The sequence below is a fragment of the Homo sapiens genome, chromosome 5, assembly GCF_000001405.40.
Source record: "Homo sapiens chromosome 5, GRCh38.p14 Primary Assembly".
NCBI lineage: Eukaryota > Metazoa > Chordata > Mammalia > Primates > Hominidae > Homo > Homo sapiens.
This window is the reverse complement of record NC_000005.10, coordinates 160,116,367-160,144,113: the sequence shown is the minus strand read 5'-3', so window position 1 is coordinate 160,144,113 and position 27,747 is coordinate 160,116,367. Positions and strand designations below refer to the sequence as shown.

The 27,747-nt window shown below is 46.8% G+C and overlaps 1 protein-coding gene across 14 annotated transcripts in view, besides 6 other annotated features; it reads left to right on the top strand.

Moving 5' to 3' along the window:
- Nucleotides 24,539-24,588: a silencer, noted in NCBI's record as "silent region_16578". NCBI's record gives its function as "represses an Ori minimal core promoter by ATAC-STARR-seq in GM12878 lymphoblastoid cells {active_cell/tissue: GM12878}" and the evidence as "EXISTENCE:reporter gene assay evidence [ECO:0000049][PMID:35858748]".
- Nucleotides 24,613-25,112: an enhancer, noted in NCBI's record as "H3K27ac hESC enhancer chr5:159546009-159546508 (GRCh37/hg19 assembly coordinates)". NCBI's record gives its function as "activates a minimal SCP1, AML or CMV promoter by ChIP-STARR-seq in naive H9 embryonic stem cells {active_cell/tissue: H9 hESC(naive)}" and the evidence as "EXISTENCE:reporter gene assay evidence [ECO:0000049][PMID:30033119]".
- Nucleotides 24,613-25,128: a biological region, named in NCBI's record as "H3K27ac hESC enhancer GRCh37_chr5:159546009-159546508".
- The window catches only part of PWWP2A (PWWP domain containing 2A), a 75,135-nt gene continuing 72,051 nt past the window's right edge, over nucleotides 24,664-27,747 (top strand). For 11 of the 14 annotated variants that reach the window (XR_007058578.1, NR_146216.2, NR_146217.2 and 8 more), the window contains exon 1: nucleotides 24,664-25,309. Coding sequence is in view for 5 of the 14 variants with exons in the window: in XM_011534424.4 (XP_011532726.1) it covers nucleotides 24,726-25,309 (584 nt within the window). In the remaining 9 variants the exon portion in view is untranslated. Of the gene's footprint in view, nucleotides 25,310-26,188; nucleotides 27,426-27,747 lie in introns of all 14 variants that reach the window. The other 3 variants (XR_007058579.1, XR_007058580.1, NM_001349732.2) reach the window with 1 other exon arrangement.
- Nucleotides 24,749-24,848: a silencer, noted in NCBI's record as "silent region_16577". NCBI's record gives its function as "represses an Ori minimal core promoter by ATAC-STARR-seq in GM12878 lymphoblastoid cells {active_cell/tissue: GM12878}" and the evidence as "EXISTENCE:reporter gene assay evidence [ECO:0000049][PMID:35858748]".
- Nucleotides 24,949-25,128: a silencer, noted in NCBI's record as "silent region_16576". NCBI's record gives its function as "represses an Ori minimal core promoter by ATAC-STARR-seq in GM12878 lymphoblastoid cells {active_cell/tissue: GM12878}" and the evidence as "EXISTENCE:reporter gene assay evidence [ECO:0000049][PMID:35858748]".
- Nucleotides 25,249-25,668: a silencer, noted in NCBI's record as "silent region_16575". NCBI's record gives its function as "represses an Ori minimal core promoter by ATAC-STARR-seq in GM12878 lymphoblastoid cells {active_cell/tissue: GM12878}" and the evidence as "EXISTENCE:reporter gene assay evidence [ECO:0000049][PMID:35858748]".

Sequence of the window (27,747 nt, the reverse complement as noted above, 5' to 3'; positions counted from 1 at the left end):
GCAACTGAAGCCCATTACCCTAAGCAAATTAACTCAGGAACAGAAAACCAATTAGGTAACAAAAAGTTAAACAAAAGGTACACGGGGACATAAAGGTAGAAACAACAGACACTGGGGACTCCAAAAGAGCGGAGGGAGGGAGAAAAGCAAGGGATGAAAAGCTTCCTGCGAGGGACGATGTTCACTCTTGGTAATGGGTTCATTAGAAGCTCAAACCTCAGATTTATAACATATACCCATGTAAGAAACCTGCCCATATACCCTCTGAATCTATAATTTTTTTAAAAGTTGTCATTTGAAGAATAATTTTTTTTTTTTTGAGATGGAGTTTTGCTCTTGTCATCCAGGCTGGAGTGCAATGGTGAGATCTCAGCTCACTACAACCTCTGCCTCCCGGGTTCAAGTGATTCTCCGGCTTTAGCCTCCCGAGTAGCTGGGATTACAGGCAGGCACCACCACGCCTGGCTAATTTTGTATTTTCAGTAGAGATGGGGTTGCTCCATGCTGGTCAGGCTGGTCTCGAACCCCCGACCTCAGGTGATCCGCCCGCCTTGACCTCCCAAAGTGCTGGGATTATAGGCGTGAGCCACGGCGCCCGGCCTGAAGAATAAATTTTTTAAAAGAAGAAAAAAAAAAAAATTAAGTGACCACTTCGTCTTTCTATGCCTTGGGTTCTTCATCTGTGAAATGAAGATTGGACTGTTGTAACAATTAAGTGAGATAATACATATGAACTGCTCAGCACAGTCACTGGTGCATAGAAGAAGGTACACAAAGATTAGGTATTACTGATTGAGTGCCTTCTATATCGTACGCATGGGGCTTGCATTTAGAGATGAGCAAAACAAGATGTGCTCCTTGTTCTCTTGTCTAGTTAAGAAGGAAACAAGAAGTAAATAATCACACACAAATAGAGAAAGCTGGCTGGGTGCGGTGGCTCACACCTGTAATCCCAGCACTTTGGGACGCCAAGGCGGGCGGATCACGAGGTCAGGAGATCAAGACCATTCTGGCTAACACACTGAAACCCCGTCTCTACTAAAAATACAAAACATTAGCCGGGCGTGGTGGCGGGCGCCTGTAGTCGCAGCTACTCAGGAGGCTGAGGCAGAATGGCGTGAACCCAGGAGGTGGAGCTTGCAGTGAGCTGAGATCGAGCCACTGCACTCCAGCCTGGGTGACAGAGCTAGACTCTGTCTCAAAAAAACAAAACAAAAAAAACAAAAGACAAAAAAACAACTAGAGAAAGCTATGTGGGAGTACCTGCTTCCTATGGCTAGGTAAGGGAATTGTGATCTGAAAGTCGCTAATGAGGTGAGGAGAGGGCACAATGTTCCAGGCAGAGTGAAAGGCATCTTCCTTGTCTCTGAAGATATTAGATGATCTGGGTTTTTGAGACCCTTCCTCTCAGAATCTCTGAGCCTAGCCCGGGCGTGGTGGTTCATGCCTGTAATCCCAGCACTTTGGGAGGTGGAGGCGGGTGGATCACCTGAGGTCAGGAGTTAGAGACCAGCCTGGCTAACATGGTGAGACCCCCTCCCCTGCAACCCACCATCTCTACTAAAAATAAAAAAATTAGCCAGGTGTGGTAGTGGGCGCCTGTAATCCCAGCTACTTGGGAAGCTGAGGCCAGGGAACCCAAGAGGCAGAAGTTGCAGTGAGCTGCGATCTCACCATTGCACTCCAGCCTGGGTGACAAGAGTGAAACTCCATCTCAAAAAAAAAAAAAAAGAATTTCTAAGCCTACGTGCTGTTTTCCACTATTCCAAGGACAAAGTTTGCATCTTGAAAGCTAATCACTAAACCAAAGCCTTCACAAAGGCCATCAGTGGTTTTACCAAACAGACATTCTTCTCTAACAGCGACTAATATGATTAGTACTGGGTCCAGGCAGGTGAGCAGTTATAAGGGTGAGTTTTGGGTTAAGGCCTAACGGGGGCTAGGTCTTCAATTTTTGGTGGGCTTCAGGTCACCTGTGGAGACTTTTCAATACATCCCAGGGCCACATCCCTGGGAAATCTCAAGTTGGTGGCTTTAAGTAGGGCCTGGTAATCTTCATTTTTCTCATGCTTAGCCAGGGATGAAAACAATAGCATTGTCATTTTGAACTCTGGCTCTACCACCCTCCATCTGGGTGACCTTGAGCAAGTTATTTAACCTCTTTGAGACTCAATTTCTTTCTTTTTTTTGAAACAGAGTCTCACTCTGTCACCGGGGCTGGAGTGCAGTGGTGCGATCTTGGCTCACTGCAACCTCCACCTCCCAGGTTCAAATGACTCTCCTGCCTCAGCCTCCCCAGTATCTGGGATGACAGGTGCCTGCCACTATACCCAGCTAATTTTCTGTATTTTTAGCAGAGACAGAGTTTCACCATGTTGTCCAGGCTGGTCTCGATCTCTTGACCTCGTGATCCACCCGCCTCGGCCTCCCAAAGTGCTGGGATTACAGGCGTGAGCCACTGTGCTCGGCCTGAGACTCAATTTCTTAACGTATAGAATGAAAATAATAATATCTACCCATAGGGCTATCATGAAGATGGAATGATATTAATATACAAGAAATGCTTATTAATGTAGTCCTTGCCATGTAGTAAACATCCCGAACATGGTAGTTATTTTTGTTAGCTTTTTTGTATAACAATAGAATATTCTTTTGGTAAGATTGGCAATGGGAATGATTTATTATAGAAATCATAGAATACTATGTATCCATAAAAAATGATGAGTTCATGTCCTTTGTAGGGACATGGATGAAGCTGGAAACCATCATTCTCAGCAAACTATCACAAGGACAAAAAACCAAACACCGCATGTTCTCACTCATAGGTGGGAATTGAACAATGAGAACACATGGACACAGGAAGGGGAATATCACACACCGGGGCCTGTTGTGGGGTGGGGGGAGCGGGGAGGGATAGCATTAGGAGATATACCTAATGTTAAATGACGAGTTAATGGGTGCAGCACACCAACATGGCACATGTATACATATGTAACAAACCTGCACATTGTGCACATGTACCCTAAAACTTAAAGTATAATTTAAAAAAATAATTAAAAAAAAAAAGAAATCCTGACCCACGGCAGACTGCCAAATGTTTCTTATATCACATGCCAGGTAGAACGGAGATATTTTCAAATTAAATTCTCTTCTCAGGAAGTTTCCTTTGAACTACTGAGATGGAATTTCACTGTTGTTGCCCAGGCTGGAATACAATGGCATGATCTTGGCTCACTGTAACCTCTGCCTCCCAGGTTCAAGCAATGCTCCTGCCTCAGCCTCCCCGAGTAGCTGGTATTACAGGTGCCCACCACCACATCTGTTCGTGTTCTTAGTAGAGACGAGGTTTCACCATGTTGGCCAGGCTGGTCTCGAACTCCTGATCTCAGGTGATCCACCCACCTCAGCCTCCCAAAGTGCTGGGATTACAGGTGTGAGTCACTGCGCCCGGCCTATTTTTGTCATTTATAATCTCTAGCATTTCCTGGGGGAGAGCATGGTCTCTCCTTTTTGTTTCAGTTGGAATTTGGCTCCATCACTTACTAGTTATGACATGACCCTGAAGAAACTAGATCACAGTTCTAAGCTATGGAGTCTGACAAATCAGGTTTGCAGCCTTGGCTCAGCCATTACTGGCTGTATTACCTTGGGCAAGTCACTTCTCTTTTCTTTCTTTTTTTATTTTTTTGTTACAGAGTCACTCTGTTGCCCAGGCTAGAGTGCAATGGCGCAATCTTGGCTCACTGCAACCTCCGCCTCCCAGGTTCAAGCGATTCTCCTGCCTCAGCCTTCTGAGTAGCTGGGATTACAGGCATCTGCCACCACGCCCTGCTAATTATTGTATTTTTAGTAGAGATGGGGTTTCCATGTTGGCCAGGCTGGTCTCGAACTCCTGACCTCAAGTGATCCACCCGCCTTGGCCTCCCAAAGTGCTGGGATTACAGGTGTGAGCCACTGCGCCCAGCCCATGCCTGACTTCTAATGCCTAAGAGGAAACATGCTCAGTACTAATCTTCTCCACCTCCAAATTCAAATCCTGAAGTTGCAGATTTGGAAGATGGGGAATTAGGGAAGCTATGATCATGCTGCTGCATTCCAGCCTGGGCAATAGAGTGAGACACTGTTTCAAAAAAAAGAAATCTGGCATGATTTCTCTGAGGGCTGAGCTTCTGAAAGTGAGCCAGGAGGTGGACAAGTCAGAAATCAACTGAGGTCGTGTGTAATGGCTCATGCCTGTAATCCCAACACTTTGGGAGACTGAGGCAGAAGGATTGCTTGAACCCAAGAATTTGAGAGCAGCCTGAGCAACATACTGAGACCCCATCTCTTCGTTTGTTTGTTTTTGAGACAGTCTCACTCTGTTGCCCAGGCTGGAGTGCAGTGGCGCAATCTCGGCTCACTGCAACCTCTGCCTCCCAGGTTCAAGGGATTCTCCTGCCTCAGCCTCCTGAGTAGCTGGGACTACAGGCATGCGCCACCACGACTGGCTAAATTTTTCTATTTTTAGTAGAGATAGGGTTTCACCATGTTGGTCAGGCTGGTCTCCAAGTCCTGACCTCAAATGATCCACCCACCTCGGCCTCCCAAAGTGCTGGGATCATAGGCGTGAGCCACCGTGCCCGGCTGTAAGACCCCATCTCTACAGAAAAAAATTAAAAAATTAGCCTAGGCAACAAAGCAAAACCTTGTTTCAGAATAAATAAATACATACATTTTAACTCAGACATGGTAAGCTCAGTCCTAAATCCTCTGTCCTGTGGGAAAGAGGAGGAAGTGGAGTGGTAACTCCACCGCAGACCCTGGTCTCCCGGGGCCTTGAGCACTGCCTGGAAGATGCAGATGAAGCCTTGGAGTGGCCCTAGTATATATAGCCGTGGCCTCCACTGGATATGGGGCACTGGAGTTTTTCTCTATGGGCTGGATTCAAGCACCAGAGCTTCCTGACATTTCCCATCAGAAGGGAAAATGAGAAAGGTGGGTAGATGGAAATCTCTCTTCCATATTCATGCAGAATGAAGGCAGATGTGTTGATTTCCTTTTAAGTACTTGTGTCACTTCAACTGTAATTACCTTTTCCCAAATTCAAGAACAGAGTGGGGTGAGGAGGGTGAGGAAAGGATATGAATCTATAATAAGATTCTAAAAGAATTAAAATCTCATCAAATTTTTACCCAAATGCAAACTGCAATCGCTCTTTGGGGCAATTATGGGGAGGAAGAATTTATAGAGAATAGGCCTTACGGCCGGGCGTGGTGGCTCATGCCTGTAATCCCAGCACTTTGGGAGGCCGAGGTGGGCGGATCACGAGGTCAGGAGATCAAGACCATCCTGGCTAACGTGGTGAAACCCCATCTCTACTAAAAATAAAAAAATTAGCCGGGCATGGTGGCGGGCACCTGTAGTCCCAGCTACTCGGGAGGCTGAGGCAGGAGAATGGTGTGAACCTGGGAGGAGGGGCTTGCAGTGAGCCAAGATTATGCCACTGCACTCCAGCCTGGGCGACAAAGCAAGAATCCATCTCAAAAAAAAAAAAAATAGGCCTTAGAGTTTATCAGATGTGGGTACAAATCCCACAGCCCCCACTTATTAGCCAAGTGGCTCTGAGAGCCTCAGCTTCCTCATCTGTTAAATGGAGATAATAATAGCACTGGCCTCATGGGCTATACAGAACCGAACAGAACAAAGAATAAATTAGCCCAGTATCTGCAGGGTAGTATGTTCTTAAGAAATGTCACCGGGGGTGGCGGCTCAGGACTGTAATCCCAGCACTTTGGGAGGCCGAGGGGGGCGGATCACGAGGTCAGGAGATCAAGACCATCCTAGCTAACACAGTGAAACCCTGTCTCTACTAAAAATACAAAAAAATTAGCCAGGCGTGAGGCACACACCTGTAGTCCCAGCTACACAGGAGGCCGAGGCAGGAGAATTGCTTGAATCCGGGAGGCGGAGGTTGCAGTGAGCCGAGATCGCGCCATTGCACTCCAGCCTGGGCAAAAAAGTGAGACTCTATCTCAAAAAGAAATGTCAACTGCTCTTATCTGGGCAAAGCACTGTTTTCCATAGTTGACCTTTTATTTTTATTTTTATTTTATTTTATTTTGAGACAGAGTTTCGCTCTGTCGCCCAGGCTCGAGTGCAGTGGCACAATCTCGGCTCACTGCAAGCTCTGCCCCCCGGGTTCACGCCATTCTCCTGCCTCAGCCTCCGGAGTAGTTGGGACTACAGGCGCTCGCCACCATGCCCGGCTAATTTTTTTGTATTTTTAGTAGAGATGGGGTTTCACCGTGTTAGCCAGGATGGTCTCGATCTCCTGACCTCGTGATCTGCCCACCTCGGCCTCCCAAAGTGCTGGGATTACAGGCATGAGCCACCGTGCCCGGCCTAGTTGACCTTTTAAATTTTATTGGTATTAAAAGTGAGATCAGGAGTTCAAGACCAGCCTGGCCAACATGGTGAAATCTTGTCTCTACTAAAATACAAAAATTAGCCAGACCTGGTGGCAGGCGCCTGTAATCTCAGCTACTCGGGAGGCTGAAGCAGGAGAATTGCTTGAACCTGGGAGGTGGAGGTTGCAGTGAGCCGAGATCATGCCACTGCACTCCAGCCTGGGCAACAGAGCGAGACTCCCTCTCAGAAAAAAAAAAAAAAAGAAAGAGAAAAACTCATATTTTTAATAAAATAATAATAGTACATAATAACAGGGGGTTTTTGGTGACCTTACCTGGCAAAATGAAGAGTTGGCATCTCCAAGCTTGTCCTTCAGGAACAAAATGTAGATAAACAATACCTTCCAGACAAAAGTGTTGTAAGAATTAAAGGAGAGAGTGTGGGCATGGTAGTTCATGCCTGTAATCCCAGCACTTTGGGAGGCCGAGGTGGGTGGATCATTTGAGGTCAGGAGTTCGAAACCAGCCTGGCCAACATGGTGAAACCCCATCTCTACTAAAAATAGAAAAATGAGTCTGGTGTGGTGGCGGGTGCCTGTAATACCAGCTACTCGGGAGGCTGAGGAAGGAGAATCGCTTGAACCTGGAAGTTGGAGGTTGCAGTGAGCTAAGATCACACCACTGCATTCCAGACTGGGTGACAGAGTGAGACTCTATCTCAAAAAAAAAGAAGAACTAAAGGAGAGAAATGTGCAGAGGTGCCCAACACAGGCTGGCTAAGATGCAATCAGATTTTTCTTTTTCTTTTTTTTTTTTTTTTGAGACAGAATCTGGCTCTGTCGCCCAGGCTGGAGTGCAGTGGTGCGAGCTTAGCTCACTGGAATCTCTGTCTCCTGGGTTCAAGTGATTCTCCTGCCTCAGCCTCCCAAGTAGCTGGGATTACAGGTGCCCACCACCACACCTGGCTAATTTTTGTATTTTTAGTAGAGACAGGGTTTCTCCATGTTGGCCAGGCTGGTCTTCAACTCCTAACCTCAGGTGATCCACCTGCCTTGGCCTCCCTAAGTGCTGGGATTACAGGCATGAACCGCTGCACCCGGCCTAGAATCAGACTTTTCTACACCAGCTCTGTCCTGTAGCAAAATAACGTAAGTCATACATGTAACTGAAAATGTTCTGGTAGCCATATTAAAAGCATAAAAAGAAATAGGTGGAAGTAATTTTAATAATGTTTTTAATTTAATTTAAATTAATTTATTTAGTTATTTATTAGTTATTTATTTAGTTAGTTATTTAGTTTAGTTTTTTGAAAGGAGGTTTCACTCTTGTTGCCCAGGCTGGAGTGCAATGGTGTGATCTTGGCTCACCGCAACCTCCACCTCCGGGGTTCAAGTGATTATCCTGCTTCAGCCTCCCAAGTAGCTGGGATTACAGGCATGTGCCACCAAGCCTGGCTAATTTTATACTTTTAGTAGAGACAGGGTTTCTCCATGTTGGTCAGGCTGGCCTCGAACTCCTGACCTCAGGTGATCCACCCACCTTTGCCTCCCAAAGTGCTGGGATTACAGGGGTGAGCCACCGTGCCCAGCCTATTTATTTATTTATTTTTGAGACGGAGTCTAGCTCTGTCGCTAGGCTGGAGTGCTGTGGCATGATCTAGGCTCACTGCAACCTCCGACTCCCTGGTTCAAGCGATTCTCCTGCCTCAGCCTCCTGAGTAGCTGGGATTACAGGCACGAGCCACCATGTCCAGCTATTTATTTTTTATTTTTATTTTTTGTATTTTTAGTAGAGATGGGGTTTCACCATGTTGGCCAGTATGGTCTCGAACTCCTGACCTCAGGTGATCCACCTGCCTCGGCCTCCCAAAGTGCTGGGGTTACAGGCATGAGCAACCGTGCCCAGCCAATAATGTATTTTATTTAAAATACAATATGTAATGAGTATTTCAATATGTAATGAATATTTTTAAAAAAATCAATGCTTCGTTTTGTTCTGTTTTATTTTTGAGACAGGGTCTTGCTTGTTGTCCAGGCTGGAGTACAGTGTCACAAACACTGCTCACTGCAGCCTCAACCTCCTGGGCTCAAACCATCCTCCCCTCTCAGCCCCACAAGTAGCCGGGACTTACAGGTGGACGCCACCACACCTGGCTAATTTTCTTTGCATTTTTTGTAAAGATGGGGTTTCACCATGTTTCCCAGGCTGGACTTGAACTCCTGAGCTCAAGCGATCCACCCGCCTTGGCCTTCCATAGGTGTTGGGATTACAGGAGTGAGACACCATGCCAGGCCAATGAGATATTTTGAAATATTTTTCTCCCACTAATTTTTAAGATCTGATGTGGGCTTTATACTTACAGAACATCTCATTTTGGATAGGAACATTTCATGTGCTCGATACTCACGCAGAGCTGGTGGACACTGTGTTGGGCAGCATAGCTCTGGAAGGTATTGACAGCTAAGCTATAGAGAGACACTGACTCAACTATTTCCTTTCTTTTCCTGTTTTGAGTCTCTTAAAAACTCAAAAATCGCCAGGCGCGGTTGCTCACGCCTGTAATCCTAGCACTTTGGGAGGCCAAGGAAGGCAGATTACCTGATGTCGGGAGTTCAAGACCAGCCTGGCCAACATGGCGAAACCCCCGCTTTACTAAAAATGCAAAAAATTAGCCAGGTGCAGTGGCGTGCGCCTGTAATCCCAGCTACTCTGGAGACCGAGGCAGGAGAATCACTTGAATCCGGGAGACAGAGGTTGCGGTGAGCAGAGATCACGCCACTGCACTCCAGCCTGGGCTACTGAGTGAGACTTGGTCTCAAGAAAACAAAACAAAACAAAACAAAACAAAACAAAAAACAAAACAAAAATCAAGCTATGAAAATAATCTTTCCAATTCACTTTACTCACCTTGGAATGTCCTTTTTTCCAAGCACTTGGTTCCTAGGCTGACAAAAAGGAAGCCCTTGGGCTCTGGGTGAGTCTGGAGTGGGATGCAGACTTTCTCTTTTTGTCTTTGACTTTTAAATATTGAAATAATAGAATCTACTTATGAAGTGCCAGGCACAGTGCTAAGTGATTTGCACACATTGTTTAATCTTTACAATGATCCTATGAAGTAGGTTCTATTGTTATGTTGTTTTCACATCTGGAGCAAAACAGGCTCAGAGAAGTCAAGTATCCTGTCCAAAGTCACACAGCAAGGAAATGGTAGGACTTGATTTCCCTGAGTCAGAAGGCAGTGCCTTTATTAATGAGTTCTTAGGCAATTCTTTATCATTAGTAAATTGCAGAGTTAGGATTCACATGATTCACATTCACCTCTTTTCATTTTTATTTTTTGAGATGGAGTCTCGCTCTGTCCCCTGGGCTGGAGTGAGGATTCATATTCACTTCTGACTCCAAGTTGATCTATTCAAACACATGTTGAAGTCCCAGGTTTCTCACTTTAAAAAGGAATAATAATAGTCACCTTGCAGGGTGATTTTGAGGATTAAATGAGCTAATTTACTTGCAAATCTGTACCGGAACTAGAAGTCTTTTGACTGGCTAAGGGAGTTCTAGTTTAGGCCTTTCACTAAGGGTTTATGAGCTGATTACCATCAATTCCCATTACCTTTAGTGACAATCATGGAAACTGTGAGCCCCGTGCTTAGCCCAAGAGTTCAAGAAATTAGAAAACCTGGACCAGGACCATGGGCCCTGCACGGCCCTGAGTGATAGAATGCAGTGAACAACAGGCCAGGAGACCGGGGGGGGGGGGGCGGGGGCGGGGGGTGCCTGTTCTAGTCCCTGCTGTCCCTCGGAAGGGCTGAGAAACCTTGGGCAAGTCCCTTCTCTGTAAACTGAGGGAAGAGGACCAGATACAATGTGAATTCCTCCGCGTTCTGACACTTGAGCTGTGCCCAGCGTCGACCCGCCCCACCCTCCCTGACACACAGTGTTTAAAGGCCCCGGCGCCTCCGCCTTGTGACTTCAATGCACGTGGTACTCGGTCCCCCAGTGGGCGGAAAACTCAGGGGTGGCCTTATTATGAATGAATATCGAGCAATAACCGCAGGGTTGAGGCTTCAGACAGAAGTCACTATGGTGACCAAAGCACAACGAAAGAGTGCAGGCTCCAAGAGCCCTCCAAGGTCTCCTGCCTTTCATTCCAGAGCTCTGCCGGGCTCCCTGCACCGCGAGCTCCGCTGAGTTAAGTGCCTCAAGGTCACGGGAACAAAGAAAGGGCAACTAAATTGGCTTCATCTGTTCCCTTCCTAGTCCGCATCCACAGAGCTGGATGGAGTGGGCTGAGTCCGAGCGGAATTCGGATTTGAATACAGGAACCAGCTCATACGGAAGGGGGTTACCTCTCAAGGTTCCCAGGCCAGGAGTGGGTGGGCGGGGGCTGAGGGCGGGGGTAGGAGCAGCACCATCTCCGTTGCAGCGCCACAAAGACAGCCAAGACCCAGGCCTCGCCAACGCTGGAGGAGGAAAGCGCCTTATGAATCATTTAAAGTCCATGAAAGACTCTCCTGGGACTTGCTTTTCTCCTTCACCCAGCAGAGATACCAGGGCAGAAAAGAATGTGTCATGACCCAAAGGAGAACAAAATGTCCAGGCTAGTGGAGCTCTGGCTTCTCATATGGGAACTCTCTTGTCTCTCCAACCCATCAGATCCTGGGGAACCCAGTTACGCCTATTCTTCTGCACACCCTGTCTAGAAAACCCACGTTTGGGATCTTCCTATTACAAGGCGACCAGGCCCTATTTTATTCACTTATTTATGTGTTTATTTGCCAAAAAAACAATTCGAAGATTCCCCCCTAAGAAATACATGTTCACTGTAGAAAATTTAGAAAATTAGGATAATTGAGACATGTAGATGGCCAAAAAGAAAAGAAACTCCCCATTAACCCTACCACCTAGAAATAACCGTTTACTTATTTGGTCATTTGTTTATAAATTCTATGATTTATTTTTATTTTGAGACAGGGTCTCACTCTGTAGCCAAGGCTGGAGTGCACTGGCGCAATCACTGCTCCCTGCAGCCTCGACCTCCCATGCTCAAGCAATTCTCCTACCTCAGTCTACCAAGTTGCTGGGACTACAGGCATGAGCCACTGTGCCGGGCCTACAAACAGATATAAGTATATTTTGAGACGGAGTCTCGCTGTGTTGCCCAGGCTGGAGTGCAATGGCGTGATCTCAGCTCACTGCAACCTTCACCTCCTGGGTTCAAGTGATTCTCCTGCCTCAGCCTCCCAAGTAGCTAGGAGTACAGGAATGCTCCACCACACCCAGCTCATTTTTGTATTTTTAGTAGAGATGGGTTTTCACTATGTTGGCCAGGTTGGGCTGGAATTCCTGACCTCAGGTGATCCACCCACCTCGGCCTCCCAAAGTGCTGGGATTACAGGCTTGAGCCACTGCACCCGGCTTTTTTTGTTGTTGTTTTGTTTTGTTTTGTTTTGTTTTGTTTTTGAGACACAGTTTCACTCTGACACCCAGGCTGGAGTGCACTGGTGCAGTCTTGGCTCACTGCAACCTCCACCTCCTGGGTTCAAGCAATTCTCCTGCCTCAGCCTCATGAGTAGCTGGGATTACAGGCATGTGCCACCACACCTGGCTAATTTTTGTATCTTTAGTACAGACGGGGTTTCACCATGTTGGCCAGGCTGGTCTTGAACTCCTGACCTCAGGTGATCTGCCCACCTTGGCCTCAAAGTGCTGGGATTACAGGCGTGAGCCACCGCGCCCAGCCCTCCTACAAATATTTTTTTGAAGGCCTATCATATGCAACGCACTGTACTAGGAATAGAGGTACAGAGATGAACAAGGCAGGTCTTACAAGGAGTTTTTTCTGTATAAAACTGTACACACATACCTTCCTAAAAAATCTCTGCTGTTCTAAAACTAAACAAATAAAAATAAGGTAGAGAATAGGAATTTGGTATAAAATTGAACCAAAGCAACTTAGAACTAAATATTCGGGTCAGTTTGTGTTTGTCTATGTAGTCAAAGAAACAACTGGAGGTAAACATGGAAATAGCTGCTTGGGAGTGAATGGCTATGAAGTAAATGCTAAGACTGGTGCCTGGGCCCCAGTTCCTGGCTCAGAATTTACATTGGCTGAACCAGGTGATGTCCACACTCCTACGCAGGCCTCCAGACCCTTGGAAAAGATAATGAGAAAAGTTACTGGCTCACATGTGTGATCTAATTTAACATAAACTTCACAGCAAGTATTTGAAGTAGATTGGCCAGGTGTGGTGGCTCATGCCTGTAATCCCAGCACTTTGGGAGGCTGAGGCAGGTAGATCACCTGAGTACTGGAGTTCGAGACCAGCCTGGCCAACATGGTGAAACCTCGTCTCTACTAAAAATACAAAAATTAGCTGGGTGTGGTGGCGGGCACCTGTAATCTCAGCTAGGAGGGAGGCTGAGGCAGGAGAATCACCCAGCCTGGGTGACAGAGTGAGACTCCATCTCAAAAAAAAAAAAAAAAAAGAAAGAAATGACTTATCATTCCCATATTACAGATAGGGAAACTGAGACAGAGAATAACTGTGATGGCAGAGAAGCAATTCTATCAAAATGATCTCAGGTTTGTGATTCTTTTATTTTGTCACCCAGGCTGAAGTGCAGTGGCATGATCACAGCTCACTGCAGCCTCAACCTCCCGGGCTCAAGCAATCCTCCCCACTCAGGCTCCCAAGTAGCTAGGACTATAGGCACATGCCACCACACCTGGCTAATTTTTTAATTTTTTGTAGAGAAGAGGGAGATGAGGAGTCACTATGTTGCCCAGGCTGGTCTTGAACTCCTGGGCTCAAACGATCCTCCCAAAATGCTAGGATTATAGGCGTGAGCGACTGGACCCAGCAATTTTGTGATTATTTATTTATTTATGTATTTATGTATTTATTTATTTATTTTTGAGATGGAGTCTTGCTCTGTCACCCAGGCTGAAGTGCAATGGTGCAATCTCAGCTCACTGTAACCTCTGCCTCCCCAGGTTCAATCGATTCTCCTGCCTCAGCCTCCTGAGTAGCTGGGATTACAGGCACATGCCACCATGCCCAGCTAATTTTTGTATTTTTGTAGAGATGGGGTTTTGCCATGTTGGCCAGGCGATTCTCCTGTCTTGGCCTCCCAAAATACTTAGGGAGGCAGAGGCAGGTGGATTGCTTAAGCTCAGGAGTTCGAGACCAGCCTGGGCAACATGGTGAAATCCTGTCTCTACAGAAAAAAACAAAAATTAGCCAGGCATGGTCATATGTGCCTGTAGTCCCAGCTACTCAGGATGCTGAGGTGGGATAATCACCTGGGCCCTGGGAGGCAGGGGTTGCAGTGAGCCAAGATCGCACCACCACACTCCAGCCTGGGTGACAGAGGGAGACGTTGTCTCAAAAATAAATAAATAAATAAAATAAAAAAAGAACAATCTAATAGCTGAGAAGAAAGTCAAGTAAATAAATGTTCCTAGAATTTTTTTTAAGGGGATGGGTACAATCAGGGATGTTTAGAATCTAAGGTCAGATTTGACTTGTGGGCTTGGAACTAGAAGGTTTGATCAAAAAATGCACACCAATAAGCCATTTGCCCAAGGATCCTGTCCCAGGGGATGACTAAGGAAACAAAAAAATAGCCAAAAGATCAAAGTTGCCAAGAGTACATTCTTTGGAGACTGACAGGCCTAGTCCCATCCTAATCTCCATCTCCAGCTTTCAAAGTTTTCTTTGACCTCTCTGAGGCGTCGGTTCCTTGCTGGGTTGTTGCAAGGATTAGTGTTCATTTCTGCAAGACACATTGCATGAAGCCTGGCCAACCATTACGATTTACCCAGCATCGTCCCACTTTTTTTTTTTTTTTTTTTGAGTCAGAGTCTCGCTCTGTCGCCCAGGCTGGAGTGCAGTGGCGCGGTCTTGGCTCACTGCAAGCTCTGCCTCCCGGGTTCACGCCATTCTCCTGCCCTAGCCTCCCGAGTAGCTGGGACTACAAGCTTCCGCCACCACGCCTGGCTAATTTTTTTAAAAAATATTTTTAGTAGAGACGGAGTTTCACTGTGTTAGCCAGGATGGTCTCGATCTCCTGACCTTGTGATCTGCCCGCCTTGGCCTCCCAAAGTGCTGGGATTACGTAAAGGCGTGAGCCACCAAGCCTGGCCCACTTTTTTTTTTTTGAGACGGAATCTCACTCTATTGTGAGGCTGGAGTGCAGTGGCATGATCTCGGCTCACTGCAACCTCTGCCTCCCGGGTTCAAGGGATTCTCCTGCCTCAGCCTCCCACGTAGCTGGGGCTACAGGCATGTGCCACCACACCGGCTAATTTTTTTGTATTTTTGGTAGAGACGGTGTTTCACCATGTTGGCCAGGATGGTCTCGAACTCCTGACCTCGTGATCTGCCTGCCTTGGCCTCCCAAAGTGCTGGGATTATAGGCGTGAACCACCGCACCCAGCAGCATCCCACTTTTAACACTGAAAGTCCTGCATGCCAGGAAACCCCTCAGTCCCAGGCAAACCAAATGGTTCACCTAGAACCACCCCCTCCACAGTGGTGCCTGTGGGGTCAATTTTTGAGGAATTATGTTGACATGGGAATTGTTAGGAATATACAAAGAAAAAGGGGGAGCTGTGTGAAAGGACACCCGAAGACTATGGGCAAAATGTTTCAGGATAGGACCCACATTTTATTACTTGATTCCCCCAAGCTCATCTGGTGGCTGTCTCTGCCTGACACATAGTGCTCATAAATGGCTGGATTAATGTTGGCTCTTATTATGGAGATTGTCCTTAATATTGAAATTTACCTTTGTAATATGATGGCTCTTTCACCTGTGGTGTGAAGTGAGAATCTGTTATCAGAAGCAGGTGGTAAGGGATGTGTGGTATCCATATAGAGCAGGAAGTTTTATTTATTTATTTATTTATTTATTTATTTATTTATTTGAGATGGAGTTTCGCTCTTGTTGCCCAGGCGGGAGTGCAATGGCGTGATCTTGGCTCGCCACAACCTCTGCTTCCTGGGTTCAAGCGGTTCTCCTGCCTCAGCCTCTCAGTAGCTGGGATTACATGCGCCCACCACCACGCCTGGTTAATTTTTGCATTTTTAGTAGAGATGGGGTTTCACCATGTTGGCCAGGCTGGTCTCGAACTCCTGATCTGAGGTCATCTGCCTGCCTCAGCCTCCCAAAGTGCTGGGATTACAAGCATGAGTCACCGTGCCCAGCCCATTTGAAATCTTTTGTTTTCATTTCTTCAAACTTTTAAGTTGTGTGGTATCAGTTTCTGAAATTGCTCTCAGTGATCCCTGCCTCTTGGCATACATGCCCTTGTGGAATCCTCTCTCCTTGTAAATAGCTGGACCTGGTGACTTGCTTCTGAACAGAGTGCAGCAAAAGTGCTGGGATGCCTCTTCTGAGATCACACGACAAAATACTGCGACTTCTTTCTTGCTTACACCAATTTTTCCTCTGGCTCTTCTTGTATGCTTACTCTGACAAAGCAAGTTGCATGTTTTGAGCTGTCCTATGGAGCAGACCCACGTGGCAATTAGTTGAGGGCAGCCTCTGGTCAACAGCCACCAAGGAACTGAATCCTATAAATCAGGGGTGTCCAATCTTTTGGCTTCCCTGGGCCACACTGGAAGAAGAAGAATTGGGCCACACATAAAATACACTACACTAACAAAAGCTGAAGAACAACGACAACAACAACAACAACAACAACAACAACAAAAAACACCACAAAAAAAATCTCATAACGTTTTAGGAAAGTTTACAAATTTGCGTTAGGCTGCGTGTGGCCCATGGGCCGCTGGTTGAACAAGCTTGCTGTAGATGAAAATGTGAGTTACCTTGGAAATGGACTTTCAAAATACATATGCCCAAATATAAATATTTTGGAAGAAATTTATCATAAGGAATTGGATCACTTGATTGTGGAGGCTGAGAAGTTGCGTAAACTGCCATGTGCAAGCTGGGGACCCAAGAAAGCCTGGTGTTATTCCAGTCCAGGTCCAAATGCCTGAGAATCTGGGGAGTTGATGATGTACATCCCAGTACAAGGACAGGAGCAGACTAATGTTCCAGCTCCAACAGGCAGGCAGGCAGGCAGCAAAAGAAGTGAATTCCTTCTTCCTCTGCCTTTTGCTCTATTCAGCCTCTCAACAGATTGGATGATGCCCACCCACACTGCTGAGGGCCATCCACTTTACTGAGTCCACTGATTCAAATGCTAATCTCATCTAGAAACATTCTCTCAACACCCCAGAAATATGGTTTAATCTGGGTACCCCTTGGCTCAGTCAAACTGGTACGTAAAATTAATCATCATATGGATCCTTCCCTAGTTAAGCTTTCAGATGAAACCACACCCCCAGCTGACACCTTGATATGTAGCCTTGTGAGAGACTGAAAGAGAGGATTTTGCTGGGCACAGTGGCTCATGCCTGTAATCCTAGCACTTTGGGAGGCTGAGGCAGGTGGATCACAAGGTCAGGAGATCGAGACCATCCTGGCTAAGATGGTGAAACCCTGTCTCTACTAAAAATACAAAAAAATTAGCCAGGCATTGTGGCGGGCACCTTTAGTCCCAGCTACTTGGAAGGCTGAGGCAGGAGAATGGCATGAGCCCAGGAGGCAGAGCTTGCAGTGAGCCGAGATCGTGCCACTGCACTCCAGCCTGGGTGACAGAGCGAGAATCCGTCTCAGGAAAAAAAAAAAAGAAGAGAGAGGACTTAGTTAAGCCTTGCCTAGGTTTCTCACTCTGAGCATGGTGATGAAATAAATGTATGTTGTTAAGACACTAATACCACTAGCAGATATAGATAACTGATATAAATTTACTTACAGAAAAGTACACGTAAGTGCAGAGCTTGATGAATCATTACAAGCTGAACATACTTGTGTATCCAGTACCCAGATCAAGAATCAGAAATTATCAGAACCCCAGAAAGCACCATTCATATTCTCTTTCCGTCACTAGCTGTGCTGCTCCCCATCATCTCCTATCAAGAGTAACCCCCATCCCGACTTCAAACAGCATAAATTTGTTTTGTTTGGTTTTGTACCATATATAAATAGTATCGGTCAGGTACAGTGGCTCATGTCTGTAATCCCAGCACTTTGGGAGGCCAAGGTGGGCAGATCACTTGAGGTCAGGAATTCAAGACCAGCCTGGCCAACATGGTGGAACCCTGTTTCTACTAAAAATACAAAATACAAAAATTATCCAGGCGCGGTAGCAAGCACCTATAATCCCAGCTACTCGGGAGGCTGAGGCGTGAGAATCACTTGAACCCAGGGGCTGGAGGTTGCAGTGAGCTGAGATCACACCACTGCACTCTAAACTGGGTGACAGAGCAAGACTCTGTCTCAAAAAAAAAAATCATATAATATGCACAAAATAACTTTTTAGCAGATTCTCAGAGAGTTCCCCCTATACATGATACATTCAGAACTACTGACTGACACACACACACACACACAGAGGCAGAGGCAGAGATGACAAATGACATATTTGTCATTAGTTACCCATCACAGCCTTGGTCTGGGAGCAGGTGATCTAATTCCAGAAGATAATTTTTTATTTTTTTTATTTTTTTTTTTTATTTTGAGACAGAGTCTTGCTCTGTTGCCCAGGCTGGAGTGCAATGGCGTGATCTTGGCTCACCACAACCTCTGCCTCCCCGGTTCAAGTGATTCTCCCATCTCAGCCTCCTGAGCAGCTGGGATTATAGACACCCACCACCACGCCCGGCTAATTTTTGTATTTGTAGTAGAGACGGGGTTTCACCATGCTGGCCAGGCTGGTCTCAAACTCCTGACCTCAGGTGATCCACCTGCCTCAGCCTCCCAAAGTGTTGGGATTACAGGCGTGAGCCACCACGCCTGGCCTAGAAGAGAAATATTGATTACCTCATCAGAAATAGGCCCAGAACACGAGGAGCAATTCACTCAGCCCCTATGGTTTGATGGCCATGTTCCCCATGTTATCTTCTGTCTATAATTCTATTTCCTGAGAAACCAGGCCCAGAGATAACCACTAAGCCATATTTAGCCATAGTTATTCCTCTCCAGGGACCAATACCCTTGTGTTTGGGTTTTTACTTAGACTTACTCAAGTTTGGTTATTGAGGATCAGCACCCCTTGAGTATGATCAACCACAGATACAAGAATGAGTTTTTGGACTTAGTTGCTAACAACTATTGAACTATTTTTGCTATAATTGAAGGTCTACGCTAATTATTTATATATGTTACATAAATAAAAAAGCAGACCAGGCTGGGTGCAGTAGCTCATGCCTATAACCCCTGCACTTTGGGAGGCTGAGGTGGGCAGATCACCTGAGGTCAGGAATTTGAGACCAGCCTGGCCAACATGGAGAAACCCCATCTCTACTAAGAATACAAAAAGTAGCTGTGCATGGTGGTGGGCACCTGTAACCCCAGCTACTTGGGAGGCTGAGGCGGCAGAATCACTTGACCCTGGGAGGTGGAGGTTGCAGTGAGCTGAGATCGTGCCACTGCACTCCAGCCTGGGTGACAGAGTGAGACTGTCTCAAAAAAAAAAAAAAAAAAAAAAAAAAAAGAGAGAGAGAGAAAGAAAAGAAAAAAAACAGACCGGGTGCAGTGGCTCATGCCTGTAATCCCAGCATTTTGGGAGGCTGAGGTGAGCAGATCACTTGAGGTCAGGAGTCTGAGACCAGCCTGGCCAACATGGTAAAACCCCATCTCTACTAAAAATACAAAAAATTAGTTGAGCATGATGGTGGGTGCCTGTAATTCCAGCTACTCTGGTAGCTGAGGTATGAGAATTGCTTGAACCTGGGAGGTGGAGGTTGCAGTGAGCTGAGGTTGTACCACTGCACTCCAGCCTGGGCGACAGAGCAAGACTCAGCCTTGAAAAACAAAACAAAAACCCCCCTAGTAATCTCTATTGGTAAGTAGTTATTATTAAGATGTTTTACAAATGAGGAAATAGGTTAAGTGATTTGCCTAAGATCATGCTCAGATCATATAGGTAGTCAGAGGATGACTGGGGAGTCAGATACAGTTTTATTTATTTTTTTATTATTTATATTATTTTATTTATTTATTTATTTATTTATTTATTTATTTATTTATTTATTTATTGAGACGGAGTCTCGCTCTGTTGCCCAGGCTGGAGTGCAGTGGCACGATCTCGGCTCACTGCAAGCTCCGCCTCCCGGGCTCATGCCATTCTCCTGCCTCAGCCTCCAGAGCAGCTGGGACTACAGGAGCCTGCCACTACGCCTGGCTAATTTTTTGTATTTTTAGTAGAGATGGGGTTTCACCATGTTAGCCAGGATGGTCTCGATCTCCTGACCTTGTGATCTGCCCGCCTCGGCCTCCCAAAGTGCTGGTATTACAGGCGTGAGCCACCGCGCCCGGCGCTATTTTTTATTTTTATTTTTTGAGACGGAGTCTTGCTCAGTCACCCAGGCTGGAGTGCAGTGGCACGATCTCGGTTCACCATAACCTCCACCTCCAGGGTTCAAGCAATTCTCCAGTAGCTGGGACTACAGGTGCATGCCACCATGCCTGGCTAATTTTTGTATTTTTAGTAGAGACAGGTTTTCACCATGTTGGCCAGGCTGGTCTCGAACTCCTGACCTCAGGTGATCCATCCACCTCGGCCTCCCAAAGTGCTGGGATTACAGGCGTGAGCCACCATGCCTGGCTTATTTTTTTTTTTTTGAGACGGAGTTTCGCTCTTGTTGCCCAGGCTGGAGTGCAATGGCGCGATCTTGGCTCACTGCAACATCTGCCTCCTGAGTAGTTCAAGCAATTCTCTTGCCTCAGCCTCCTGAGTAGTTGGGATTACAGGCATGCACCACCACTTCCAGCTAATTTTTTTTAGTAGAGATGGGGTTTCACTGTGTTGGCCAGGCTGGTCTTGAACTCCTGACCTCAGGTGATCCACCAGCCTCGGCCTCCCAAAGTGCTGGGATTATGGGCATGAGCTACCGCGCCTGGCTTTATTTTTTATTTTTGAGAAAGCATCTCACTCTGTTGCCCAGGCTGAAGTGTAGTGGTAAAATCATGGCTCACTGCAACCTCAATCTCCCGGGCTCAGCCTCCTGAGTAGCTGGGACTACAGGCACACACCATCATGCTTGTCTAATTTTTGTATTTTTTGTAGAGACAGGGTTTTGCCACGTTGCCCAGGCTTGTGTCAAATTCTTGAGCTCAGGTGATCTGCCTGCCTCCGCCTCCCAAAATGCTGGGATTACAGATGTGAGTCACTGAGCCTGGCCAGTTACAGGTTTATTTACTTCAACTGAATTTTAGCCACCATATTATAGTATCTTGCAGAGCTTGAGATGAAAGTATGCTCATGAAAGTGAGGATCTGTTTCAGCAATCAGCTGGTTTCCTTATCCCTGCCATTCATCTATTCATTCAACCATCCATTCATCTATTCAACCGTCTGTTCAGTTCTCCAACTATCCATCCAATCCATCAACCATCCATCCAATCACCTAGTCAGCCACAAATATCATGTGGCCATCCATTAAACAAATATCAAAGGCATCCTCCATACCAATTCCATGCCAGGAGGAGGCTGAATGCAGAGGTGAATAGATTACAAAAGCAAATGTAAAAGCCAGGTTTCTTTTTTTTCTTTGAGTTCGGGTCTCACCGTCTTGCAAGGCTGGAGTGCAGTGGCATGGTCATAGCTTACTACAGCCTCAAACTCCTAGGCTCAAGCAATCCTCCTGCCTTAGTCTCCCAAAATGTTGGGATTACAGGCATGAGCCACTATGGCTGGCCCAGGCTTTCCACTAGATTTGGAGCTCCCTGAGGGCAGAATCCCTTGCTTTTGTATCTGCAGTACAAAACATGATTTGGGTCCTGTTTTCCTTTTCAACCTCATCTACTCAACTTCTTGCTCATTCCTCAACCAGATTGGTCTTCCTTCTGTTTCTGGAACAAGCCAAGCCCTCTTTTGCCTCAGAACTTCAAACAATTGCTGTTCCTTTTCATCCAAATGTTCATCCAGCAATATCAATAGCTGGTTGCCTTTTCCTTTGCATCTTAGTTAAGATGTCCAATCCTCAGAGAGGGCTTTTGTGACAACCTTATCTAGAGGAGACACCCTTCAGCCCCTCTGCCAGCTACTTCTATTCTCTCACCCTGTTTATTTCTCTCATGGTATTGCTTACATCTGTGATCATCTTTTTATTCATTGTATGCTCATTTTACAGTTCCCCAACTAGAAAAATAATCCTCAGGAGGGCAGTTACTAAATCTTTCGTATATATATATATTCACCAGCCTGGGCAACACAGTGAAACCCCTGTGTTGCCCAGGCTGGTCTTGAACTCCTGAACTCAAGTGATATCTTTTGTATTCTTTATTTCATGCCTTCTGCCTGACTAGTCCAGTCACTGAAACACAGTAGTCCTTTAATATTTATTTATTATTTATTAATTTTTTTTGAGACAAAGTCTTGCTCTGTCACCCAGGCTGGAGTGCAGTGACACAATCTTGGCTAACCATAACCTCCGCCTCCTGGGTTCAAGCGATTCTTCTGCCTCAGTCTCCTGAGTAGCTGGGATTACAGGTGCGTGCCACTGCACTCGGCTAATTTTTTGTATTTTTAGTAGAGACAAGGTTTCACCATGTTGGCCAGGCTAGTCTTGAACTCCTGACCTCAGGTAATCCACCCGCCTCAGCCTCCCAAAGTGCTAGGATTACAGGCATGAGCCACCGCGCCCGGCCCCTTTAATATTTATTTGTTGAATGAATGAATAAGTGAATGAATAATATAAGACCAAATCTTTCTAGTATTAGGAGGCTTGAAGAGTAGTGGAAAAGAGACCTTGAAAGGTAAGGTGACAACACAGAGAGGGCTTTGAAAGCCAAGCAGAAGAAGGTACACTCCATGTGAGCATTGGGAGCCAGTAGAAGCTCTTGAGTTACAGAATGAAATGGTGGCTTAGGACAATGACTTGGTATGCCACAATCTATTATGAAGCTGAAATGTAAATTACTCATTGCAGCATCTTGTAATGAATTACTACAAGAGGTAATCAGGTCCCAGGACCCGAACTATATTTTTCTCCCTGTGGGAGATTATACAATGTGAGACCTTAGGGTCTAGGCATTTCATAGACTCTATGTTGTGTTTAATTAGTTGATTATGGTGAACTGTAGACAAAATATTATGGTGAAAACCCTATAAGGCAGAATCTGTATCTGCTTACTGCAAGTATCTAGCCTGAAGGAGATAACTCTTTGATGAATGAATGATTGAGTGAAAGTCATGTACTTGGAAGGACCCAGGTTAGATAGGATCTGCTGCTAGCTAGCTGTATGACCCTTAAGATCTTATTATCTTTTTATTTTTATTTTTTTGATACGGAGTTTCACTCTTGTTGCCCAGAGTGGAGTGCAGTGGGCACATCTCGGCTCACTGCAACCTCCGCCTCCTGAGTTCAAGCAATTCTCTTGCCTCAGGTTTCCAAGTAGCTGGGATTACAGGCATGCGCCACCATGCTCAGCTAATTTTGTATTTTTAGTAGAGATGGGGTTTCACCATGTTGGTCAGGTTGTTCTCAAACTCCTGACCTCAGGTGGTCCGCCTGCCTCGGCCTCCCAAAGTGCTGGGATTACAGGCTTGAGCCACCGCGCTTGGCCCGCTTAGGATGTTTAACATGGCTAAGGCTTGGCTTCCTCATCTGTAAAAAAGGGAGAAGATTTAAGTCACAGGATTTTAAGTGAGAGTTTTGGGAAAATCTCTGGTACAAAATGAACACTAAGTACATTTGTTTCTTTCTGTATTTTTAAATGATATTCTGAAACTTCCCTGATTGGGATCTTCTACTGGCCTTTCCCCACGAGCCACTTGGTTTGAAATAGGCAGAGCATATGGTGATATTTGTTTATTGCTATTTTCAGTCTTTTCCATGTAAAACTGAAATTCTGACTATGCAATTTACCAGCCGAGTAACCTTGGGCACCCTCTTTGTGCCTCAAAATTTTAAGGATTGAGATGATATGCTATAGTGTTTGTATTAGTGCCTGGTACATGGTACTCAAAAGACACTAGCTGTAATTATTCTTCAGGACTTTATTTTTTTTACTTTCATTGCTAGCAGTTTTTCTACCCTCTCTCCTGCAGGCATTCTCCCAGAAAAAAGGCTGACTCTGTGGTGCCATTTGAGAGAAATAGGTTCAGTAGATTCTTCCAGAGATGACAAACGAAAAGACTTGATGTGGAAGTAAGAGAAGTAGGGGCGTCAGGACACTGAAGTGAGAGATCTTTTGTTCTCGTGGCATTGGAGAAGCCAGGAAAGAAAAAGGCTTTAGCAGGGACCAGGTGCGTCCACTTTGCAAGTGGATTTGGAGAGAACAAGCAGTGTTCACATATCAGTCCAGCAATGTCTCAAGACTCCTTCCTGGAACAGTCATCAGTTTAATCCAGTGAGGATGGTGTCTCTCTTCTTTCATGAGCATTTTCCTATTTCTGAAATATTAATAAATAGGTGCTTTGTTCCTAGGAAGTGGAGAGAAGTCAAGGAAAATACTCATCATACTCCTAGAAGTCAAGGAAAATACTCCTCGTACTCCTCATGGCCGCTGGAGCCCGCTGCTATGAGGTTATGGAGAACGTCTTGAACATTCCATTCCCCAGCACCTAGTGCAGTGACTAGCATAGTAGGCACTCAAAAAGTGTCTGTAGGATTGTATTTCAAACTTTAGTTGTCTTTCCCAAAGAAGCCTGTCGTGCCCACACGCGGCCGCAAGAAGTCCGCGCCTAGAAATAACATTTATTCTAAGGATCTCTGCGCAGAGATTCTTGGGAAGCGGTTCCCCTCCCGCATTCCCTTGTTACTCCTCCCCTCGGCCGCCTTTGAAAGAAGTGGCACGCCACATGATTCCATCCTTTCTCCCACCTCCAAAGACCTGGCTGATAATGGGCAGGAGCGTAGGCCAACCATAAAACTTTATTTCCTCTTCCAGCCAATAGCAAGAGGCGATGAGTATATGGCTCCTCTTTTGTGACTTCCCCCGCCCCCTTTGATTCCGCCCCCTATTCCTCCACTCAGATTCCACACTTGACAACACATCTGGCCAATGAGAAGTTCCTACTCTGCGTGGGAAGGATGGACTGACTAGATGATAGACGTCCATCCCTGGCCAATGGAATATCAAAAGTGCGGGAGGGGTGTAGAATGCAACCAATGGCGAGGTGCCAGAAACGAGCATCAGGGAAAGGGCGGGACGAAAGTGTTCGCGGGAGGGAGGGGAAGGCCCAGGGAACCAAGCAGCGCTGTCGCCGCCGCCGCTGCAGCCGGAGTTGGAGGAGGGAGAAGCTAGGAAGAAAATGGCGGCCGTGGCTGCAGAGGCGGCAGCGACTGCAGCGTCCCCCGGGGAGGGGGGCGCCGGCGAGGCCGAGCCGGAGATGGAGCCCATCCCCGGCAGTGAGGCCGGCACTGACCCCCTCCCGGTCACGGCCACTGAAGCGTCTGTGCCGGATGGCGAGACTGACGGGCAGCAATCCGCTCCTCAGGCCGACGAGCCGCCGCTCCCGCCGCCACCGCCGCCGCCGGGGGAGCTCGCCCGCAGCCCAGAGGCGGTGGGGCCGGAGCTGGAGGCTGAGGAGAAACTGTCCGTTCGGGTGGCGGAGTCGGCGGCAGCCGCGCCTCAGGGAGGGCCGGAACTTCCACCTTCTCCTGCATCGCCGCCGGAGCAGCCCCCGGCTCCCGAGGAGCGCGAGGAGCCGCCGCTGCCTCAGCCCGTAGCCCCGGCGCTCGTGCCGCCGGCGGGCGGGGACTCCACGGTGTCGCAACTGATCCCGGGCTCGGAGGTGCGGGTCACGCTGGACCACATCATTGAGGACGCGCTTGTCGTGTCGTTCCGCTTCGGGGAGAAGCTCTTCTCCGGGGTCCTCATGGATCTGTCCAAAAGGTACCGCGCCCGCCCCCAGCACCCTCCGGTCCGCTGGGTCCCCAGGGAGGGAGTGAGCCCGGGCGGCCCCCTCTCCCCGAGCCCTCGCTTCCCCGCTGCCCGGGGCCCCGCCCTCTGGTCCTGCGCGGCGCGTGGCGCGCGCTCCGAGTGGGGCAGGCGCGCGAGACCGGGAGAGGGCGGTCCCGGCCCCAGGTGGGCGCCTGCGGGGCAGGTGTGCCACCAGGTGGGAGGGTGCAGGTGCAGATGGGCTCACAGGTCTCACCCCTCACGCCTGGTCTTCTTCTGCGACTTGGCCTGGAGTCACCGTCACTGGGCGGGTGGGTTAATGCAAGATGCAGATGGATTTTTGCAGAGAACGGAGTGTTGGACGGGGGGACGGGGGGGCGGGGGGCATTGCTTGCGAGGAGGCACTTGTCTGTCCTCTAACGTTTAACTTTAGCGGGATTGGAGAAAGGGGTGTGTACATTGGGGTTCCCAAAAGGTTACCTGTCACTCCTTACAGGGGGAAGAGCATTTGTTAAAATGAACCTTTTAACTGTAATTCTTACGGTTAGAAGTCATTCCCGTTAGGTTAACCATTCAACAGAGAAGCATATTTTGCTAATTTTAATGATAGTTTAAGAAAAGTTTAAAGAAGAGATTGGAGATTTTTAAAAAATCCTTTAATGTCAAGGTGGTGTAGCATAAAAATGTTCAAGTAACTTCTAACACCTGGGATTCAGTTTATGTATTAAGGACAAGAAGGTTGAGTTCATCTACAAATTTGGCTTAACCACATTTTCATTTTTTGATTTAAAATGTTTTTGGGCTCTGCTTTCAACAGGGGAAGAGAACCTGTTCTAAGTCTGGAGTTAACCTTTTTATTCTCTTCTTTTGCAGATATGAAGTGCAGAGACTCCCATTCACGGCTTTCCATTCTGTTTCCTGCAACAGCACACGCTCTGATCGTATCTCACCTGTTTGCAATGGCTTATTAGTATGTTTTACTCTTAAACTTGCTTGCTCTCCCATCAAGACCCAGGAATCCTTCTTTCCCATTTGGGGAAAAAAGCCATTTAAAATTTCATATTGAAGTATGGTGTTTGAGGGGAAAGATGAGAGCAGTTATTCTGTATTATTTAATCTCAAATATCTTTTTTTTTTTTTTTGAGACGGAGTCTCACTCTGTCACCCAGGCTGGAGTGCAGTGGCGCCATATCGTCTCACTGCAACCTCCGCCTCCTGGGTTCAAGCGATTCTCCCGCCTCAGCCTCCCAAGTAGCTGGGACTACAGGCGTGCGCCACCATGCTGGTCTAATTTTTGTATTTTTTAACTAGAGCCGGGATTTCACCATGTTGGCCAGGCTGGTCTTGAAATCCTGACCTCAGGTTATCCACCCGCCTCAGCCTCCCAAAGGGCTGGGATTACAGGCATGAGCCGCCGTGCCCGGCCTCAAGTATCTTTTTTAAAAATAATTTTGGATTAGGGCATTTGCACTTCTGTTTATGTTTGTTTGTTTACTTATTTAATAGAGACAGGGTCTTGCTGTGCTGCCTAGGCTGGTCTCAGACTCCTGGGCTCAAGCGATCCTACTGCCTTGGCCTTCCAAAGTGCTGAAATTACAGGCGTGAGCCACTGTGCCCGGCCTGCACTCCTGTTTTCATAATTAGAAAGCAGAATAAGGTGAGTGTGCTTTCTATTGATGTATTTTATTTATTTATTTATTTATTTATTTTTGAGACAGAGTTTCGCTCTTGTTGTCCAGGCTGCAGTGGTACAATCTCTGCTCACTGCACCCTCCACCTCCCTGGTTCAAGTGATTCTCCTACCTCAGCCTCCCAAGTAGCTGGGATTACAGGCATGTGCCACCACGCCTGGCTAATTTTGTATTTTTAGTAGAGATGGGGTTTCACCATGTTGGTCAGGTTGGTCTCAAACTCCTGACCTCAGGTGATCCACCCACCTTGGCCTCCCAAAGTGCTGAGATTACAGGCATGAGCCACCTCGCCCGGCCTCTACTGATGTATATAATAGTAAGAGACACTCTGGTGTGTATGCTGTTGAATGAAACAGAAGAGATGGCCAGTGATTGTGTGAGAATCTGGATTTCAAATCTGCAAAAGGAAGGTGCAGAAGGTAAGTTGTTTTTGGAAATGGAATGGATAAGTGCTCATTGTGTTAGTGCTTTATTTTTAAAAAATTTTCTTTAGTGGAGAATTGCTATTGAGTTTTGGTCTCATGCTATCAGTGCTTAGAAACAGCAATTTCTTTTGTTGGAGGAGCTATTCCTAATATGAACCTTTTCCATTTGAATATTCTGAAGTGAAAGGATCCTATTACTATTATTTATTTATTTATTTATTTTTTCCAAGACGGAGTCTTGCTCTGCCGCACAGGCTGGAGTGCAGTGATGCGATCTCGGCTCACTGCAACCTCCGCCTCCCGGGCTGAAGCAATT